Genomic DNA, 16,853 nt, shown 5'->3' with positions numbered 1-16,853 from the left:
CCTGCCCAGACCTCGGTCTTTATGTCGTACTATCTAGTGACCCATAAGCATGATCAAAATTGAATTGTTCATGCAGTTCTCAAAGTATCTGGACATCACTTGATCATGTGCTTTAAGAAAGGTCATATTTTGAACTATTCAAATCTAACTGTGCAATTCTGCAAAAGAAACTGTTCTACATTCAAGAGAGAAGCCCAAGAAAATGAAAAACAATGAATCATTAGATTAATTTCATCTGTTTCTAAATTCAATGGCTTCTATCTCATTTATGTAGTGCAATTTGATAGATAGGGACCTGTCATCATTCACTAAGGAAAAGACACAATTATTTACAGGTCATCCATGTGAGGGAAAGCAAGTGGATGAAGATGACAGTCAAATTTCTTGGCTGAGTGGGCTGCTGTCAGAGCCAATTCCGCTGAGTGTCTGTAAAACACCTTTTAGACAGCACCACAGTTCAGTGGTCAAATGCAGATATTATTATACTTTCACCCATTCAAATTCTATGGTTTCTTATTAAAACAACAAAAAAAACACACAATGCCCTAGGGAAAGCTATAATTTTGTTCAAAATATAAAACATATTTTTATCTTCATCATTGCAGTTCTTCAAACACCTACTGTAATTCACATTCAATAATTAAATACAGATATATAGACACATCACACATGCTATATGCTCATATGTAAATATAACAGGCATATACACATATGAGTTCCATAATGACTGTGATGGTATTTGCTCAAAATTTAGAAGTATGTTTAAGATGGGTTATATAACTAGCATATAAACATAAAGCCAAAATAGTGAGTTATTCAAATCGAATTTTGACTTTTAATGCCATCAAGAGAGTCTGTCCTAGTATTAATAATGTAAATTGTATTGTCTTTTGTAATTTTCTTCAGAAATTTGAAAAGTTCAAGGAGAAAGTCCTTTTTATATGTTTTAACACTTTTATTCTTGTCTAGAATTCTGCTAGCCTGTGACTTCCTTAAACAGGCATCATACTTCACATCCCTATTACCCAATAACTTATATGTAGCAGAATTTTAAGTTTGCTGAATTCATGCACAATGGCTTTTCATAAACACAAGCAAAACAATGATTCCTTAGATTAGAATATAATTCAAGGTAGAAAGGTAAATTATCTACTGTTTGAAATGCTGAGTCAGAAAACGGCCAAAATCCTTATTTAGTATTCACTCGCGCATTCAGCAAGCAATTATTGAGTCGGTGCCTATCCTGCTGGAATACAAAAATTTAAAGAGGCACAGATAATGAAAACAGAAGGTATAAAATCATTAAGTGTCTTAAGGAAAGAATAAACAAACAGAATGACTATGAGAAATAAAAATAATTAAAAACAGAAAAGAACGAACAAAGTATTATGGGTTTTTACAGCTCTTCATTTGCAACCATGTCTAATCTCAGGATAAGGCATCCTGAGATCTGGAATTTGGGACAATCCACAAAAAGGCTATAGCTTCATTCTCTATGCCATCAGAATCCCTTAGAATGGAAAAAGCATAGGCTACCCTATAGGCAAAACTTTCACTTTGGGAGTCTGGAAAAGCTATGTATGGTCACTCTCCCAACATATAACTATCCAAGCCCCTTTCCTTCTACAAATCTTTAAATCTTCATGGGTATTTGTTATTTGTTTTGTTAAGATGGTTTGAGGTTTATTTTTCCTTTGGCAAAACTGGCCAGAGTGTATCCAGTAGGGAGTGAAGGTAAAGGAATGAAAGAATAATTGTATTTGATGTGAGGAAGAAAGAACGGTGCTGCTCTTGCTATATTTCAGCTCCACCTATGCACTTGATAACTTTGCTCATTTCTCCCTTTGTATCACTATCCCCACACCAAAATCTGAAGTACGACTAGGTTAATACATAGCTAGTAAAAAGCTTGGGCAGATTCCTTAACCTCTCTGACTTTCTGTTTCCTCTTCTGAAAATTGGCTTAGGTTATGTTTAGCTTTCAGTATCTTACAGTGTCTGGCAGGCTCTTAGTGAACAATGGCAGGTAGAGATGATGGTAACGGTCCAGCCGTTACATAAATGAGAATTCCATACAAACTATTGTCTTAGCTCCTCATTAAGTCACAGATATAGATGTTTCTGTCTCTGTTTCTCAAGCTATGAAATGAGACTATCTATACAGGATCGTCCTAAGAATTAACGAGATAACGCATGCAAAATTTCCTTTACTTATTCTTTTATATAAATGATTATTTGCTAATTGTCTCTAGTTTTCCATTTTCCAGTTCTAATTTGTCTATACTTAAACTTCTTTGGTTGCTGAATTATGTAAACAACAGTAACCACAAACCACCTGGGCATAGTTCATTAAAGGACTCACACAGAAGATGAAACAACCCATTGTGAATAGGGAACAAAAAATTTCAGTATCCATGCAATCCTCCAAGTAATAAACAAAGGAAGAAATACTGAAAATAGTTATTAATCTTACAAGACCTTTTAAGGACCTTATAACTTGGAATAGTTTAATCTTAGAAGAAAAGTGCCTAAGAAAGTATGAAAACATTTAGCACTCTGGTTCTAATATAGACCTTTATGTGTTTCCTGTGAATATTTTACTTGACTGAATATACTCACTTGTATTTTTTCATTTTAAATTATGTGAACGTAAACACATTTATAGTAGGAGAGCAATAACACACAGGATATATATTTATAGTCCTTACAGTCACTGGTTCTAAAATCATATACTACCACCAATCTCCAGAAACAAACCTATTAATGTGAGATGTGTAATACTGCTGTAACACATGACTACCATATTTACACAGGTGTGTAGGGTGGCCTTCTCTTCATAGCTGGTGTGAAAACAGGACTCAAAACAACCCCTGAACTTGGACATAGAAAATATAAATTAGGAAAAAAAAATTCATGGGAAATTCCTTTTGCGAGTAAATATTATTTTCTCTTAGGTGGCCAAGTGTGTTAATATGAAATTAAGGAAAGCTTTATGGCTAGGATTTTAATTATGAATGTATGTTCTAAATAATATTTAGTGTTACTCAAAGCACTACAATTAGAAACTTAAATTATTTTTGTCTTTAAAGATAGTTCAGGATATAGAAGAACTTGGCTTCCTAACTTTTTCTTGGTAATGTCCAAATATTATACAAAACAACATCATCAATGTTTAACTTTGTATGGTCTTTCATTCTTAGGAATTAACTATGCAGCAAATTTTGTTGAGAGTGTTATTAAAGGTTGTATTTGCTGTTGTAATTGCCACCAATGTGTGTGAATAAAAAATGCACATTGCTCTGGCTTTGCAGGTCTATAATGTCCATTCCTGTGGGAAACACCTCATAAAAATTCATCCTCAGACTGCCCCAAGGCTACTGTACACATTTCACAATTCACATAATAGCCAGTTCAGACAGCCCACTTGAAGATTAGTTTCAAGGGACCAAAGTACTACTACCAACACTTTCTCTCCAAAATCAACATCTCAAATGTTTTAAAATGAAGCAGAGAAAAGCCAAATACATGAATAATTTGCCAATCACAGCTCTTCCCTAAACAGTTAAATGTCTGTCATAAGGGATGTTTAAATGGAAACAACCTAGAAGGAAACAGATGGTGCTTTGTCACTTTTCCTCTCTGATTTAAAGGCTCAGTTGGGGAAGAATCTGTCATTTAAGCGTTCTCTTATTCTATAATACAAACAACAACATAAATGTTCTTTCTTCCATTTCTTTTCTTTTCTGGCTCTCCTTTCCCTTCTCATCCCTTCCTCCCTCTCTCCTTCCCTTCCTTTCTATCCATCTACCTGTCTGACAGGTAAAATCTTACATTCACCAATGTTGATTCTAAGTGCAGTCGATTTATAGCATGAACCAGCAGGTAAATAAACTGTCTGTTGAGTGGAGTGGAATTAAGCATCCTGCCACAGACAGAAAGCCAATACTATACAAATGGGACCACACAGTATTGGCGGCCATCAACATCTGCATGCAACTCCTTAATTACTATTACTCATGAATCTCTCCAGATACAGTTTATAATCTTGCCTCTCAGTGGCTCTCTCTAGTTTGTTTCTGCATTAGGCATGATAAATGCATTTTAGAAACTGACAGTAAAAGATTAATATGCTCATAACCCTCAAAGAGAACCTTTCACTGATTTCAAATCACTGCCCTCCATTAAACTGCTACTCCCCCAATCCAATTAATACTTACTCACGAAGGCTTCCTCATCCACTGGTATTCGCATAGACATGCAGAAGTATGTATCGGACTATTAAAAAAAAGATTAAAAAATCCAAATTAAACTGTTGCTAGTAAGGAAGAAATAATAACTATTAAAACGTGGCTTCTATGACTGTAAAAAGTAGTCAGTGAGGGTAGTTTTCCTTCTGAGGGCTGAGTGGCAGGTTAATGGAAAGGCTAAGTCCAGAACTTAGATACCCTAAAAGTTTGTCTAAGACTCTTTCCTAAACAACTTTAGATCCTATTTATAAAGCCAATCATCATGAGTGATATTTCTAATACTCTCTAAGTTAAAAGGCAAATTTTTAGATGCTTTTATAAAAAGAGTAGAACAATTTAATGCATTTGATTTTAAAATGGTAGAAGTTAGTTTTGACCATCTTTGCTATTTGCAAAATTAAATATTTAATTTCCTGAATCACTTTACAAATGCCTCAAATATTAGAGAAGTACAATGAATAAAAGTTGGTCTTAAAATTTATTATTTTTGGTTGCCCTCCCTTACTTTAAATTTTTTTATGTAATACATTGAAGAAATCAACATTAACTCAAGCTATTATTTCTTTTCTAGTTATTGGTCTCATCTAAATGGTCATTTTTTCACTATCAAATATATTAACATCAAGAAATTTTAGTGATAAAAATTACAATTTAAGGAGAATGAGATTCAATGTACTCCACTTCCTTAATGGAAATCCATACACAATAAAGTATGTGCTATTGTTAATAATATGCCCAATACAAATACAGGCTGCACTCTTTTAATAATTCATGCTTCCTGGATTATTACTGCACAGAGCTGGAATGATCAGATTCCACTAACATGGATAGAAATCATTTGGCATTTCTAAACCTAACAATTAGCACCAAAAAATTGTGAATTTTGTACCTATGTTTCTACTTGTGTGTTAAAAAACAAGGGGGTTCAAGTACACATCAAACAAATATCTTAAAATTTGAAAAATTACTGAGATGTGATCTATTCTTAGTTACTACTTTTATATATGCCATTTTCTTCTCATTTCAGCATTGTTTCATTTCTTAGAAGTCTTTATAATAGATTCAACTTTATTTTGCTAATAAGGATTTGTGCTGATTTTGTCTACCCTCTTCCCCCCGCCCCCCCCCCACACACACACATTAAGAGACCTGAAGAAACACATTAGCACAGTTTCTAACAGGTCACAGCTGCACCCCTCATGTGATCCTATCACCCTTCAAGGAGATGCTTCCAGGAGATTTTATTATTTGTTCTAGCCAAAACCTGGTAACAAGCATAAACCCTCTCTTAGAGCAGTTACTTCAGAAAGCTTGCAACTGTAAATCCTTTCTCTGCTCCTTTGAGATGTAAATCTTCTACCACCCAAAAATGTCTTCTTACATTCAGGGAGATAACCGCACAGCTCTCAGTCCAGTGGGCACCTTGTTCTAATCGACACCACTGCCTCCTGTCATAAAGATACAATAAGTTTGCTTCTCCTCCCAAATAACAAACCCAGATGGCCCAGCCACATGGACCAGCTCCCTTTCACATCCTTCAGTGCCTTTCCCTCACCACACCCCAGCTTCTAAAAGGTCTCCTCCCTTTTGTTTTGTCAAAGTTAGGTTCACTTCACACTGGACCCACTTCCCTACTGCAATAGTAACTACTGAATAAAATCTATTTTACCACTTTAAGTGGTGTTGGCTTATTTATCTTGGACACCAAAAAGTGCAGGAGCTGGGATCTGAATATATGCACTCTGTGCATTATACTAATATATTCAAGATCATTCCCAGCAATGTGACAAATAATGACTTAAAAGCAAATATAAAAACAAAAGTAAATTTAAAGCAGCTAAGCATATATTTATAATGAAAAAGGATCAAAAGGTTATGATGAAAAGGAAACAGAACTTCTTTTTAATTTGGAATAACAGGTTTCGATTTTACTCTATCTTTGATTTTATTATAAGTTATCTCATTGTTTTTGGAATAGGGAAGTTATAGGCATACATAGATATATCAAATTCAGCAAGTTGGTTCTTGATTTAAAAAATTAAGTCAATGATGGTCACATATAATACAGAGAATAAAGGAACCTGCTATTTATACTTATAATTCATCAGATCCATACTATAATTATTATTTTTTACCATCAGCCACCCAATTTAAAATGAGAATAATTTGAAAATGTCTTTCTTCTAGCAATTTGTATTTTTTGGCTTACAACTTGTCTAATAATGATAATCCATTCCCATTTCCACTATTTCTTTCCTAAGTTGTTAAAGCCAGTTGAAGAAAGAGAGAGGTGGGGTAAAGGGAGGGTAGGGGAGGGAAGTGGAGGGGAGGGAAAGGAAGGGAGGAAGGAGACCCTCTGCAGGAGACAAGTATCATACACAATTAGAAGTTTCTATCATAGTTATTTTCCATGATAACACTATTCGGTAGGTATTACAGACACCATTTTACGCATGGAAAAATGAAGCTGAAGATGGTAAGTAATTTGTTTGCAGTTAAAAAACAATCTGGAAATTGGTGAAATGAAATTTGTACCAGGTTATTAAAGCACTTCTCTTCTACTATGGAAAGATAGCTGTTAAAAGGTATTTTTCAAACCTCTCTAAAAAAATGTTGTCAGTTCTTAGACACAATTTTAGTTGTTTAGTTGATTAATGGGAGAAATAAGGGAATCAAAGTAACATAAAATTTAACAGGAAGTTTTAGTCCAAGTACCCTACATTTTCAATAGCACCTGAGAACATTTCATAAAAGCTTGGTGACTAACTGCAATGAACTAGATTAGAGCCACAGCCATTTAATTTTGTCACTATTTTGTTTCTGCAAAGTTATTTGAAAATATATACATAACTCAGATCAATGTTTCTCTGAAACACATTCTGAAGAGATAAAGACAGCACCTTATTGCCCATTATAATAGTCTTCCTATGAACACACTGTCCTAGTAAGGATGCTTCTATAATTCAACCCAAACTACCAGCACAACCATTCACAATTTTCCATTTATCATCATCATGAATCCTCTTTTTCTCTCTGTGGAAAGAACACTGTATCTGAGCTTGGTGCCAGGGGACTGTCTGTAAAATACTAAAGATTCAAACTGCTAACATAAGGCTCAGATATACAAAAAGGGAGAAATAATATGAATCTACATAGCCATGGTGCCCAGTGCTATCTATTTTGGCACATCAGCCGAATCTGAATCGAGAGGGATATGATATTGCTGATGCCTTTTTACTGATGCTACTGGGAACTATCCAAGAAAAGTACATTTTTCTGACAAAAGAAGATAGTGTGCTAGAAATAAAAAGGCTTTATTACTATAACACTCCTATAATATCCTATTACTCCCCATTTTTAACCAAGAGTTAGTTCTCTCATAGCATTCTTTATTTTGATTTAGTTGTTTGCGAATAGAGATGTAGTGGTTTCTATGGAAAAGGACGTTAATAAAATCAACTGCTTATTTAAATTATTATGAGACAAACAAAATCTCTGTATATTATTACATATGAAAACTGTTCACATAAAACCAGTAATTTTTGTTTGGGGAAACCAAAGATATCATTCCTATTCTAGTGTTGAATACTATGATTTGATCCTGATTGAATAATAACCTTTTATTGTACAGAATCCTCCCAGACTACCTTTCTTAAAGACTATTCAATGTGATGACACAAAGAGGTGTACAAATAGATAACATGATGCAGTTTTATCTGGTTATGGCCCTTTTGCTTATTTCTTTGGCTATTTGTAAATTGGTTGTTCCCTGTAAATAGGCCATAAGTCATAGAAATATTATATTGTGTATAGTATGGTCTCTGGTAACTTTTCTAAGTCATCACTTATTAAATAACCAAAACACCAAACAATAAAAATAAAAATAACTGTGAAAGATGATGGAGAGATTAATTTGCTTAACTATAGTAATAATTTCACCATGTATATGAATATTAAAACAGCATGATGTACACCATAAATATATGCAATAGGAGTAATCAAAACCCAGAACCAGTGGAAACATCTTGTGGTGGCAGTTGTGACTTTGTACCTCAGAGTAGCTAATCAGAAAGTTGGTAATAGTCTCTATACCAACCCCTGATTGTGTACATTTTAAATCCAACCCAGACAAACTGGTAAGGAACCCTAAAGTCCTACGTTTCCACATATTACTCATTTAGGGTTTGAATAACTGCATTTTGGGAAAAACTAATGGAAATTTCAAGAGCGTTGGTAGTTCTACCCATCCAACAAGGAAAACGTATGGAAAGTGGTCAAGCCTCTTTGGCCAGAATTTTGATTATGAGAGGAAGAAAATAATTGGAAAATTATTTTTCAAAGTTTTATTTTATGTGATCCAACTATGTAAAAGAATCAAATCGCTGTCTCCCAAAGTGTTTTTAATGCATGCATAGGAGGCTCACACTAACTCCGTGGTGTTTGTACTCTCCACCTCATCCTAGTATAAAAGGAAGCTAGAGCAAAAGAAAATTATACCAAAGCATAAAAGATTTTCTGAAGCAAAAAAACTCAAGTTTAAATAATCCATCTCTCTGAAGCCAGAATTTAAGACACTTAATAACAGATAAAATTCCTTAAACTATCACTATTATATGTAGTCTATCCTTGTTTCCCTTTCCCAGTTTTCTTTTTCTTACCATTTAATTTTTTAAAGATGTTACCATATTTCTTAGGCTGTGGAAGAAACAGTCATAGTGAAGATTTTATGTTAAAACGTTCCCAAATGATTCTCCAAAATGCTTCGCTTTTGTCCTTACCACTATACTAGTTCCATCCCCTATCAACATTTTTCCCAACCTAGAATGTAATCTTGTAACAGTGTCTGTCTAGCATTCTAGGTATTTAGAATTATATCTGACACATACTGGGAGCTCTAGAAATAGTTGTTGAATTTTGCACTTATCTACTTCTTTTGGTGGCAATAAACTCACAGTTTAAGAAAGGCTGTATCATAGATGCTGCCTAATTAGGGTTTTATACAGATCACTTTTTCATATGAATTTTATCCTTCAGTTGATTCATCCCAGAATCCCATTTGCATTTTTAAACTATAATCACACTGTGGCTGATGATGAGAAGAATCTCAACACCAAGTAGTTCAAATGGAAGTGACTCTCCTGGCAAGCGCTCTTCTATGGGAATTACAAATCTGTATGAGCAAACGATGAGGGAAAAATATTTTGGTGAGGGAACAGCTGTCTTAGAGCTTTCACATACTTTCACTTATGAGTAAACAAAAAGGAACATACTAATAATCTACTATCATTAATTGCCTATCATACAACAGGGTGGCGATAGCGGTGGAAACCTCCTTGGCTTCCCTGTGATGGGGACTCGGGAGTTACATGAAGGAAACTGTGCTATTCTGAACAGGGAGTGCTGACGATCTCCATTACTCACCTTTCCCAACTTTAAGCTAGTGGTTCATGCTTTTCATCAAGTTCCCCTGAATACGGAATCAGTCAATCTTCTGAACCTGGTGCCAACATTTATTCACACTGATGTTCCTCTCCTTTAATACAAATGATTAGAAACTAACTGTATGTATCAAATCTGTTTGTGGACACTTCAGAACAGCAAAGGCTCCTCAATGACTACCCCAAACACCATATTTCTGTGCTAAGTGGCTTATATTTGATACTGAGACAATACAGCTTCATAGGAGAGAAGCTCTAGACTTGAATGGGTCTGTCCACTATCTTACTGCCAAAGTTGCATTCTATTCTCTTGACATTTATAATGAACCATCAGAAAACAAAGTGGTCTTCTCAATTTCTGTGTTTTTTTCCCCCCAGGCCTGTTCTAATTCTAATATATCTTGCCATAGTCATCTCATTAATACTTGCCTACCTTTAAATCTCTTTCAATGGCTGCACAGAAAGCCATTCTTCTACCCATCCATTCATTCACTTAGCAAACATATATGAGTAATTCCCAGGAACCAGACACTGTTCTACATTCACAAAACTGTGAGCAAAAGTATACATAGTCTCTGCCCTCATAAAACTTAGTCTACTAGTTTAGCAAAGAAATAATTACACATAAATGTTAAATTTTTACTGTTTTAAGTGCTACAAAGAAGAAATATAGATTGCTACAAAAGCTAATAATTCAGAGGAAATGCTCTAGGTCAAGGGGGGTTGGCAATGTTTTAGCGTAAGAAATAGTATTTTCAAAGGCCGTGTAATTAGACAGAACTTGGTGTGACAGAAAAAACAAAAGCCAGTACACACAGACAGAGGAACATGTTTTAAATTGGACTGGGCATGTAGATGTGGCACACAATGCAGGGCCTGTAGTTCATTTAAGAATTTTGGTTGTTTTGTTTTTCATGACAGCCACAGAAAGCCACAGACATTTTTTTTTTTTGTAGGAAAATGACATGGAAATTAACCAGATGAGGTTAGTGAAGATGCCATGTAACTATTCAGAAAAATTGTAGCTTAAAGCTAGGTGATGACAGTAGAGAAGGAGAAAAGAGGGCAGATTCTAGAGACATTTAAAAGGTAAAATAGACATGACTGGGGAGTGGATTTGAAAGGAAGGTAAGGAGGCAGTGTTGAGAATAACTCCTGGATTTCTGGCTTGCATAACTGAATGTATTGGTGATATAATTCACTGAGACATAAAACACGGATGACCAGGTTTGAAGAAGATAATGAATTTGGCACTGAACATGTTGAATTTGAGCAGCTTTTGAAAATCCATCTGTAAATGTCAAAGGGGCAGTTGGGTCAAGGTCTGGAGTTCAGAGGTGAGGCTTGGCCTAAAGATGTAAATTTAGGAAACATAAAAATTGGATAGTAATTGGGCAATGTGTGTAGAGGAGGCAGCGTATTGAGAGTAGACAGAAAAAAGGGAAAGAGAAGTGACAGAGCTGTGAACTGGCTGGCCAAGTAACAGCGGCCAAGGAGTTCAGAGAAAAATCAGGGTAGCCACATGCCTTGGAAGACAAAGAAAGAGAAGTTTTAAGGAGAGGGTAGTTGACAATGTGGATAATCAAAATCCATAAGTAAGCTGTGTTCTTATAGGCATGTCTATAATACAATATTAATATCTGGACATCTACCTTTTGTGTTAATATCCCTAACTTATTAATATTTTAAAGAACTCAGTTCTTCTTCTCTGTGGCTCCCCCTAGAAGGACTGAGACCCTGTGGGTACTCTTCTCGTAGTTCAAGCTCTTCCCAAGACTATGTAAAGCTCTAGCCACACTCGCTGTCCATGGTATTTACCCCCAGGATCTCTAGTGCTGTCATCTACACTGACCCCATTCAAGAAATGCCTGCAGCAATGGTACATAGCAGTCACCACAAAGTTTTCCCACCAGTTCCTTTGGTGATGATCACAGGGACTAGGGCAGATTGAGAAACAGGAAAGACAAAACATCAAGGGAAAAACAAACAATAAAAACAGCGACAAAAACCGAAGAGCTTGAGACAACAAAAGAAAAAGGATGAGTCAATAGGTTAATTTAAAAATCTCAAATAGTCAAAATAAAATAAGGTAAGGAAAATTATTTAAAGCAATGTTGATATTACACAGACTCCAGCAAGAATATGCCACCAAGTAGAGAATTTCAATGGATGCTTGTTGACTTCCAACCCTGGAAACTATTTCTGTTCCATAGACTAGTGATACCAACACAAACTTAGGAACCTAAACACCTAATTTACCCTTTCAGCACACAGTGATTTTAACTTCTTATGATGCACTGGGAACTAGTGAAGTGATATACTACAAAAGCAGATACTTTTCACATGAAAGAGTAAGAAAAGAATAAAAACTACAATGTTAAAGTAGATGACTTTTAGAAACAACCCAACAGACTTCAGCATATTTATAAATGTTACAGTTCTGTGCAAGGTTTTGGGTTTTCAGGTTTTACATATTTGTAATACTAGTATTTTGAATGTATTCACATTCCTCTCCCACATAAATCATATTTGGTTCCCCAGCAAGCATTCTGTTATGGCTCCAAGGAGGTTGGCAGGGCTAAAGCTAAGCTGGGAAAGGGAGAAAGCATGACATAGGGGAATACCTTTCTAAATAAAAGGAAGAAGTAAAAGAAATTCCTCTGGCCAAATGGAGGTTAATTTCATAATCACAGTTATTGAAATTGACACCAATTAAGGAAACAGAGGCAATGAATCCCATTCATTTAAGACCTCTTCCACTGCCCAAGGCCATTCATGTAAGACCTCCCTTTCCATCAACCAAATACTGTACTGACAAATAAAAAAGGGAAGAGGAGGTATAGCTTACTAAAAAGTTGAGGTGACTGTCTTGAACCAGAAGAAAGTGAGATACCTTTAACTGATATTTTGAAGGTTTTCTTCCCTTGATACCCAGAGGTCACAGGTGTAATAAGCTAAATTAGATCAATTTTTTAAAGTAAAATATTTATTTTCTTTGCCTACTTGAAGAATAGTCTATAAACTGTGAGACTCTGCTACATATATAACAAACGACAATTTGAAAATTAATGTATTCATGTATTATTTGCACTTTTACTATTTGTTACGCATTGATAACTGGTATCAGCACCATATAACATTGCCTGAAATGGTTCCTGTTAAAGACAGTATGTAAAATATGCAAATAATCTTGTAAAACTCAAATAAATGTATGTACTCATGGCAACTATTAGCAGAATTTTCAACTTGAAAGATGCTTAAATTTTTATTTCATTGCTGGTGACACTTAAAATTGGTACAATGATTTTTAAAAAGCAAAATGGCAATGCACTGTTATGGCTATGAAAGTGTTTATCAGAAATAGCTCTTTTCTTTATTGGGATTATTGTGCATACAGTCATCGGGACATATCACAAAGATAATACTAAATTAAACACATGGCATCTCAGTCACATGTAAGAGGTCTAAGAAAATGTTTACTATCACTAAGAATGCATTTGGCTGCAAATTGCAGAAGACCAACTTAAAATGACTTAAACCAACAGAGATGTAGTCTCTCACATAATGAGAAGTCCAGAAGTAGAACAAATGCAAGAATGATTATTTCATCCAGCAACTAAACAACGTCATCAAGTAATCAGGTTCTTTCCATCTTTCAGCTTTGTCATATTCAGCATGTTGCCTTTATTTCATGGATTTGCCTCCCTTCATGATCACAAGATGGTTGCAGTAGCTTCAGTATGTCGTTGTCACAATGCCCAATGCAATTTCCAAAGGCTAGGGGAGGGAAAGTCTCTTCCTTAAGGTCCTTTTCAAGAATGACACTTTCCCAGAAGCACTTCAGCTCCAAAAGACTTCACCTCACATCTAAATGGCCAGAATTATACCACATGCCCATCTCTAAAGCAATCATTAGGAAGAGAAAAGGAATGACCAGAATTGGCTTAGTCTAATCAGGAAAGGGAAGGCCAATGCTGGAACAAAAGGGAATTTCTCTTAGGCAAGAAAGAACAGGAGATGTCTGAAAAGTAGGCAAACAATAGGTCCTGACAGCATTCTAAGTTTATTCATCAGTAGATAATTTTCAGGTAACCAGGCCCATTTCAATGTATTGACCTGTTCAGAATTTTTGAAATCCTTGTCTTTTCATCTATCATCAATTAAATATACTCATCTAGGCAGTTTCCACTGAGTCTCTTAACTAGCTACTAAGATATAAGAAGACAGAATGATAAAATGCCCATTCCCAGTTTAGCAAGCCTGATAATGTTGACAGAAATAAGAGATGGAAAGCCAATTCAATTCTAAGTTAATATGAAGAAACTGTGCCTTCTGAAAAATTATACTTTTTTCCTTTCAAAGGAGAGGTGAAACAGACATGGGGTACTTATGTTTAGTGATGGAGTCATATATTTAACCATAATGGTCAAGGGCAAAGTTATTCTGCTTCTCCCTACCTCCCTCACAGTGATTCTGTGACCTATTCATTTCCCTTAAACTTCTAACTCATAAAAGAAACGTTTCAACAGATTTGCATCCTTAGCTTTGAACTTTTAAGAGGAACTATAAAATCAAATATAAAAACATTCTTTGGCCTGCTCTTGGATTTTCCTTTATATGTCGTAAACATTTCTACTTCAGTATTAGGCAATTACAACAAAACTCCTTTTTTGCTAGTCCTGCTATTGGATTGTGTTTTAAGGGGTGACGCCTTGATTTATTCTTCTTTGTGTTCCCAAAGACTACCTGACATAGGAACTGGGTATGCAGTGAATGTTAGTTGAATTAGTTTGTTGAATTTTGTTCTGTTTCATGACTAAAAACCTTTTATAAAGGATTTGATCCTATAAAAACAGCTCTAGAGCATTGAGTCATTTTTTCCTTTAAGCATTTTATTTATGCTTTTTAAGTCTATCAAACTAAATTTATCCCACTGCAATTTTGCAACTTCCATTCAAAGATAATATTAATAATTCAAGAAAAGGAAGGACTCTACAAAGGTTGTCTTCTAAACTCCCAGTGGATACTTGTCACACAGTTAATGGGGTTATTAGTATATGAACCAAATAGCTGTAGGAACTGCAAATGCCCATTTTCCAGATATGTTTTTACCTGTCATAAGTTAATTTTACATTAGAAACATAAATACTACATTTTAGTACATTGTATTCTTCCCTAAACCTCCTCGGAAAATTCCTAATTTCAACAACAAAATTACAATGCTTTAAAATCGGCTTTATTTTCTTATGTTTTCTCAGGCTTACAAATACACATGCACAAATCCACACATCATGGTAAGTACAATTAAATTAAACAATTCTAAATTATCATCAATATATAATTAGATTTCTGTAGTCCAATGACCATGAGTAGGTGTTACAAGAAAAGTTTTATATCTAGCAATTATAGAACAAAAATGATGTAAGCAACATAAAGTGTATTTAAAGGTGATCAAATAGCTTACGAGGGAAAGTTTCCTTGTATAGATGTATTTCCACTGACAAATTCAGAAGGAATGAGAAGAATACTTATCATACGTAACTTCTAATTAACCACGGCAATGATGATCATTTATGGCAACTAAAAGCAATAGATAATAAGCTGACAAAAGACTTTATAATGGATTATCAACCTCACATTTCCTCATTAATAGGTAGTATTAACATTACAAGAAGAGAGACAATCAGATTACCTTCTGCTGGTAATACATACCACCATCTATGAAACATTCTTGCCAAAAACTCTAATCTAAATCTGATCTAGCCTCTAGATGCACCAGCACAAAAAAGAAAAAGAACAGAGAAACATGTTAAATGATACTCTAGTGATGCAATCAGCAAAACCTAAAATGTATGATACTCTATCGAATAAATACCCTGATTTCTTCACAAATACATTACAAGGAAAAGGAAAGAAAAGGATCTTTAAGATCTTTTTTGCTATGTATGTATTGCTCCAGGGGCATAAAAATAGATATAAAAATACTCTTTTCACTCAGAAACTTTAGAATCTAATGGATGAGACAAAGTCTGCCATTAGGAAATGGTGAAGTGTTAAGCCTTGTTGTAAGGACTAAAAAAGTAGTAGGAATTCTGAGACGGGAGAGACCAAAGTGCTGACTTGGTCCTAGACAGGCCCAATAAGGGGACCAAGGAAACCGCTGACTTGGTTCTAGACAGGCCCAATAAGGGGGCTAAGGAGGAGGGCCACTTGGCCAGACTTTTTCCCCTAACAAGATCATGCAGAGTCAGAGACACAAGATAGGAATCAAAAAAGATGATATTCCTTCCATAACCACACTGTATCATTTCTATAATGAAAGCATTAATTTGCTATAGTTAATATTTAAATGATATCAATGTTCCATTAAAAAAAATAGAAGACACAAATAAAGGGGGCAATTCAGAAGAATTTAACCAAGGAAGCAAGGACAAAGACGGCTAGGTTAAGGGAAGCATGCAGGGATGTTAAAACACCCCAGGGATTTATAAAGCAGCAAACTGTACCACCCAAAAACCTAAGAGCCAAGAAGAGGAAGAGTTACCAAAACCAGAAACTGTTATAACCATGAGAGATGATAGGAGCTATGGCATCATTAGAGAAACCCAGTTACTGCCAACCTGCTGCCTACCAGAAAAGGAACCAAGGAAATAAATACTCTGACCTCCTTATCCTCCTGCTGCCCAGTCTTCTGCCAGTTCCTCCCACAAACTAAAGCCACTGAAAGCCAGAGAGCAAGGGAGCCCATTAATGTAGTCCATAAAGGTCAGCCTCCTGGAGCGTGGAGCAGGCTGAAGAAGGGTGGGAAGGACATCTGGAGAGGCCAGTGGAGAATATCCAGCACATAAAATACATCCCTGTTTTTATACTTCTCTTTGGCAGTTCTTAGTATTTTAAAAATTATAAAGTGGAAACCTCAAAAAACAAAAGGAGTACTGAAATTTATTAAAAACTTTTATTTTAAAACATGTTCTTAAAGTCCTAAATCTGTCCCCCTTTTACATTTAGTTAATGTTTGCATTCTATTCCATGGATAGGATTACATTTCAAATGGTGCCAAGTGTTCATGTGATTTTAGCATATTAATTCAATAAAATTTTAATATTTGTAAAAAGGGTATTTTAAATAAAAGCATTATTTTAAAGAAAAAAAAGGAAACAAAAGGAGG

The 16,853-nt window shown here is 35.1% G+C and overlaps 1 protein-coding gene across 58 annotated transcripts in view; it reads right to left on the bottom strand.

The window, feature by feature from the left end:
• Positions 1–16,853, bottom strand: part of PAM (peptidylglycine alpha-amidating monooxygenase) — a 276,323-nt gene that overhangs the window by 125,475 nt on the left and 133,995 nt on the right. For 52 of the 58 annotated variants that reach the window (XM_024446066.2, NM_001319943.1, XM_024446069.2 and 49 more), the window contains one exon: positions 4,218–4,275. The exons of 1 other annotated variant lie outside the window; for it this stretch is intronic. In XM_024446066.2, coding sequence (XP_024301834.1) covers positions 4,218–4,275 — 58 coding nt within the window. Of the gene's footprint in view, positions 1–4,217; positions 4,276–5,628; positions 5,758–16,853 lie in introns of those variants that run through there. 5 more of the 58 variants (NR_157231.1, NM_001364590.2, XM_047417248.1 and 2 more) reach the window with 3 other exon arrangements.

This window comes from Homo sapiens, chromosome 5 (genome assembly GCF_000001405.40).
Source record: "Homo sapiens chromosome 5, GRCh38.p14 Primary Assembly".
NCBI classification, from domain to species: Eukaryota; Metazoa; Chordata; class Mammalia; order Primates; family Hominidae; genus Homo; species Homo sapiens.
The sequence above is the reverse complement of the archived record's forward strand: the minus strand, read 5'-3'. Positions and strand labels throughout refer to the sequence as shown.